A 4,790-nucleotide genomic window follows, 5' to 3' on the forward strand; every position below is an offset into this window, starting at 1 on the left:
TCTCCAAATTATAGGTGAAAATATTCATTTATGGAACAGTATCTAATTTTAATTTTGTAAAGTAATAACTTTGCTTTCTTGGATCCCATTAAATTATGCCAAATAACTGAAATTATTTACTCTATAGTATTATGTAGTTTTTTGTCCCCAAAAATATCAAAGTGTATTTAATTTCTGTAAGAATTATTATTGGATTAAAACTCATCTTTCTTGCCATACTGGACATTCAGTGTAGGTAGGGGAATTATCTATTTTTTTTTCTTATAACACAGTGCATGGAAAACAGACAAAAAAGTTCAATATTTGCTAAATAAATGAAATATATACATAAAAAACCTAAATGCATATATACAAATTGCCAAACTAAATGGTATTAATATGGTGATTTTACTAGAAACTCTTATTTTCTATATATTTCATTATGAAGAAATGTTAATATGCATGTCTATCTCTGTTATAGTAAACTAATTTATTAATCAAAAATAATTATTCTAACCTGTATATTGTTAACCTATAAGGGGAAAAAAAGCCTACCTGTGATGAAGATTACATGTTGTTTAAACACAGAAGTCTCATTAAAAAATATAACAGTTTGAAATAATAATGTCAGAGGGAAATTACGTTAGTTTGCTTTAGAGTTTTCATTTAAATTTCTAGGATGTTTACCATTAAATAGTGAAGTTACTTAAAGTAAAATTAAAAGATGAGCTGATGTTTGTTTATGTGTTTTATTTATGCAAATGAAGATTTAAAGCTGTAAGATCAAGAAGTAAACTCATCCATAATCAAGTGGGATTTATTCCTGAGATGCAAGGATGGTTCAAATATGCAAATCAATTAATGTGGTACACCACATTAATTGGATGAAGGACAAAATACATAATCATCTAAATAGATGAAGAATAAGCATTTGACACAATTCAACATCCTTTCATGATAAAAACTCAACAGATTAAGTATAAAAGGAATGTACCTCAACACAATAAAAGCTATATATAACAAGCCTATAGCTAATATCATACTCAACCACAATTCTAGTTTCCACTTCCATGAGCTTGACTTCTTTAGATTCCACATATGGGTAAGATCATATGGAGTTTATCTTTTTGTGCCTGGCTATTTCACTTAGCATAATGTTCTCCATATTCATCCATGTTTCTGCAAACAGGATTGCCCATTTACATTGGGTTGCTTGTTTTCTTGTTATTGAAATGTTTGAGTTCCTTATATACAGTCGTGTTGCTTAATGAGGGGTATATGTTCTGAGAAATGTGTGCTTAGGTGGTTTTTGCCATTGTACCAACATCATAGAGTGCTTATGCAAACCTAGATGGTATAGCCTACTACACACCTAGGCTATATGGTACAGCCTATTGTTCCTAGGCTACAAACCTGGCAAGCATTTTACTGCACTCTATGCTGTACGCAATTATAACACAATGGTAAGTATTTGTGTATCTAAATATATCTAAACATAGAAAAGGTAATGTGTTGCACTTTGATGTTAGGACAGCTATGATGTCAATAGGTGACAGGACTTTTTAAGCTTCACTATAATTTTATAGGATCACCATTGTATATGGAGTCTGTCATTGATGGACATGTCATTATGTGGCACATAACTACATATTGTATATTAACCCTTTATCAGACATATTGTTTGCAAATATTTTCTCCCATTCTGTGGGTTGTCTCTTCACTGTGCTAATTATTTCATTTACTGTGAAGAAGTTTTCCAGTCTGATGCAATCTCATTTGTTTATTTTTGTTTTTGTTGCCTGTGCTTTCGGGATCAGATTAAAAATATATATTGCCCAAGCCAGTGTCATGCAGCTTCTTCCCTGCGTTTTCTTATACTAGTTTTACAGTTGCAAGTCTTATATTTAAGGCATTAACCCATGTTGAGTTGATTTTTGTATATGGTATGAGATTAAAAATCCAATTTTATCCTTCTGCATGTAGATATTCCGTTTTCTAGAATCATTTATTGAAGAAACTGTCTTTCCTCTGTTGTGCGTTCTTGGCAACTTTATTGAAAATCTATTGTCTATAAGTGCATTAGTTTATTTCTGGACTCCATCCTGTTCCATTGGTAAATGTGTCTATTTTTATGCCAATATCATGTCGTTTTGATTACTATAGCTTTGTAGTATATTTTCATATGGTAGTTTATTTCATAGATAATATGATGCCACTAAGTTTGTTCCTTTTACCCAAGATTGCTTTGGCTATTAGGGATCTTTTATTGTTTCATATAACTCAAATAAAAATAGACAAAGGACTTATGTACACGCTTTCCCAAAGAAAATATACAAATGACCAATTAGCACAGGAAAAGATGCTCAATGTCACAAGTCAGGCAATGAAAATCAAAACTACAGTATCACCATATTCATTAGGATGGCTTCTATAAAAATAGAAAATAATGAGCATTGGTGAGAATGTAGAGGAATTGGAACATTTGTGCACAGGTGGTAGGAATGTAAATGGTGCAGTCACTGTGAAAAACAATATGGCAGTTCCTCAAAAAATTACAAATAGAATTAACTTGTGAACCAGCAATTCTGATTATTTATTCAAAAGAATTGAAATCAGGATCTGAAAGAGATAGCTGTACTCCCATGCTCATTTCAGCACTATTCACAATAGAAAGATACAGAAACAATTTAAATGTCCATTGACAGATCAATGGGAAAAGGACATGTGGTATACAATGGAATATTTGAGTTGTTATATTTTTCTTATCTTTGAGTTTTAGGAGATTACTATATATTCTGGATATTGACCCCTTATCAGAAATATGATTTGCAGATATGTTTTCCCAATCTGTGGGTTGCCTTTCTACTCTCTTAGGCTTTTTAATCTATTTTATTCTTAGAGTTTTGTTATTTTAGGTTTTGCATTTAGGCCTTTGATGTTACATTTAGCTCTTCGAGGTTTGTGTGTGTGTGTGTGTTTGTGTCTATTGTATTAGGTAGGAGTACATCTTCATTCTTTTGCATGTTAATATCCAGTTCCAAGCACCATTTGTTGAAAAGTCTTTTCTTTTCCAATTGAATGGTCTTGAAACCCTTGTCAGAAAACATTTGACCATGTGTGTGAGAATTTATTTTTAGGATCTCTATTTTATTCCAATGGCCTATATGTCTGTCTTTATGCCAGTGCCACATTGTTTTTGTTACTGTCACTTTGTAACAAAATTTGAAATCAGGAAGTATGAGTCCTCTAGCTTTATTCTTCCTTTTCTATTGACCATCTATTTTGACCATCCAGAGTCCCTTGACATATGAATTTTTGGATATGATTTTCTATTTATGAAAAGACATCATTGGGATTTTGATATGGATTGCAGTGAGTCCGTAGGTTGCTTTGAGTAATATTGACATCTTAACACTATTAATGCTTCTAGTCCAAGATCATGGGCTATGTTTCCATTTATTTATGTTGTAATTTTTTTTAACAGTGTTCCATAGTTGTCATTATGCAAGTTTTTTACCTCTTTGGTTAAATTGATTTCTAAACATCTTATTCATTTTCATGCTACTGTAAATTAAATTGCTTTTGTAATTTCCTTTACAGATGGTTCATTGTCAATGTATTAGAATGCAACTGATTTGGGTGTGCTATTTCTGTGTACTTTAAAATTTCTTGTGTGCCTAATTTCTTCCATTACCGTCTTCATTTGTGTTTTATTGGTTTTTTGCAGTGAAATGTTTTTAATTTTTTCTAATTTCCTTTTGTGTATATTCCACAAATATTTTCTTTGTGGTTATAATAGGGATTACATTTAATATCCTAAAGTTGTAACATTCTGAATTAACTTATACCAGCTGATATGGCTTGGCTCTGTATCCCAACCCAAATATGTCAAATTATAATCCCCACGTGTCAGGGGAGGGGCCTCCTGGGAAGTGATTGGATCATGGCGGTGGATTTCTCCCTTGCTGTTCTCATGACAGTGAGTGAATTCTCATGATATCTGATGGCTTAAAAGTGTGTGACACTTCTCCTTTTGCGCTCTCTTGCTCTCTCTCTCTCTTATGCTGCCATTAGAACTTGCTTGCTTCCCCTTTGCCTTTTGCCATAATTGCAAGTTTCCTGAGGCCTCCGGGTTATGCATCCTGTTAAGCCTGGAGAACTGTGAGTTAATTGAAACCTCTTTTCTTAATAAATTACCCAGTCTCAGGTAATTCTTTGTAGCAGTGTAAGAACAAACTAATATAGAAAATTGGTACCAGAGGTGTGTGGGGCATTGCCATAAAGATACCTGAAAATGTGGAAGCGATTTTGGAACTGGGTAATGAGCAAGGTTGGAAAAATTTGAAGGGATCAGAAGAAGACAGGAAGATGTGGGAAACTTTCAGACTTCCTAGAGACTTGCTGAATGGTGCTGACCAAAATGCTATGGTGATATAGACAATAAAGTCCAGGTTGTGGTGGTCTGAGATAGAGATGAATAACTTATTGGGAACTGGAGTAAAGGTCACTCTTGCAATTCTTTAGCAAAGAGACTGGAGGCATTTTGCCCCAACCTAGAGATCTGTGAAACTTTAAACTTGAGAGAGATGATTTAGGGTATCTAGCAGAAGAATCTCTAAGCAGCAAACCATTCAAGAGGTGACCTTACTGTTTCTAAATGTGTATGATCATATATGTGAACAAAGAGATTAGCTGAAGCTGGAACTTATATTTAAAAGGGGAAGCACAGCATAAAAGTTTAGAAAATTTGTAGCCTGGATATGTGGTAGAAAAGAAAAACCCATTTTCTGGGGAGAAATTCAAGCCTGCTA

General features: G+C 33.2%; 1 annotated feature.

Moving 5' to 3' along the window:
* Positions 3,885-4,065: a silencer, noted in NCBI's record as "fragment chr6:140728369-140728549 (GRCh37/hg19 assembly coordinates)". NCBI's record gives its function as "represses an EF-1alpha promoter that drives an FKBP-Casp9 reporter gene in an ReSE screen in HepG2 liver carcinoma cells {active_cell/tissue: HepG2}" and the evidence as "EXISTENCE:reporter gene assay evidence [ECO:0000049][PMID:32094911]".

Source organism: Homo sapiens, chromosome 6, assembly GCF_000001405.40.
Source record: "Homo sapiens chromosome 6, GRCh38.p14 Primary Assembly".
Classification (NCBI taxonomy): Eukaryota; Metazoa; Chordata; class Mammalia; order Primates; family Hominidae; genus Homo; species Homo sapiens.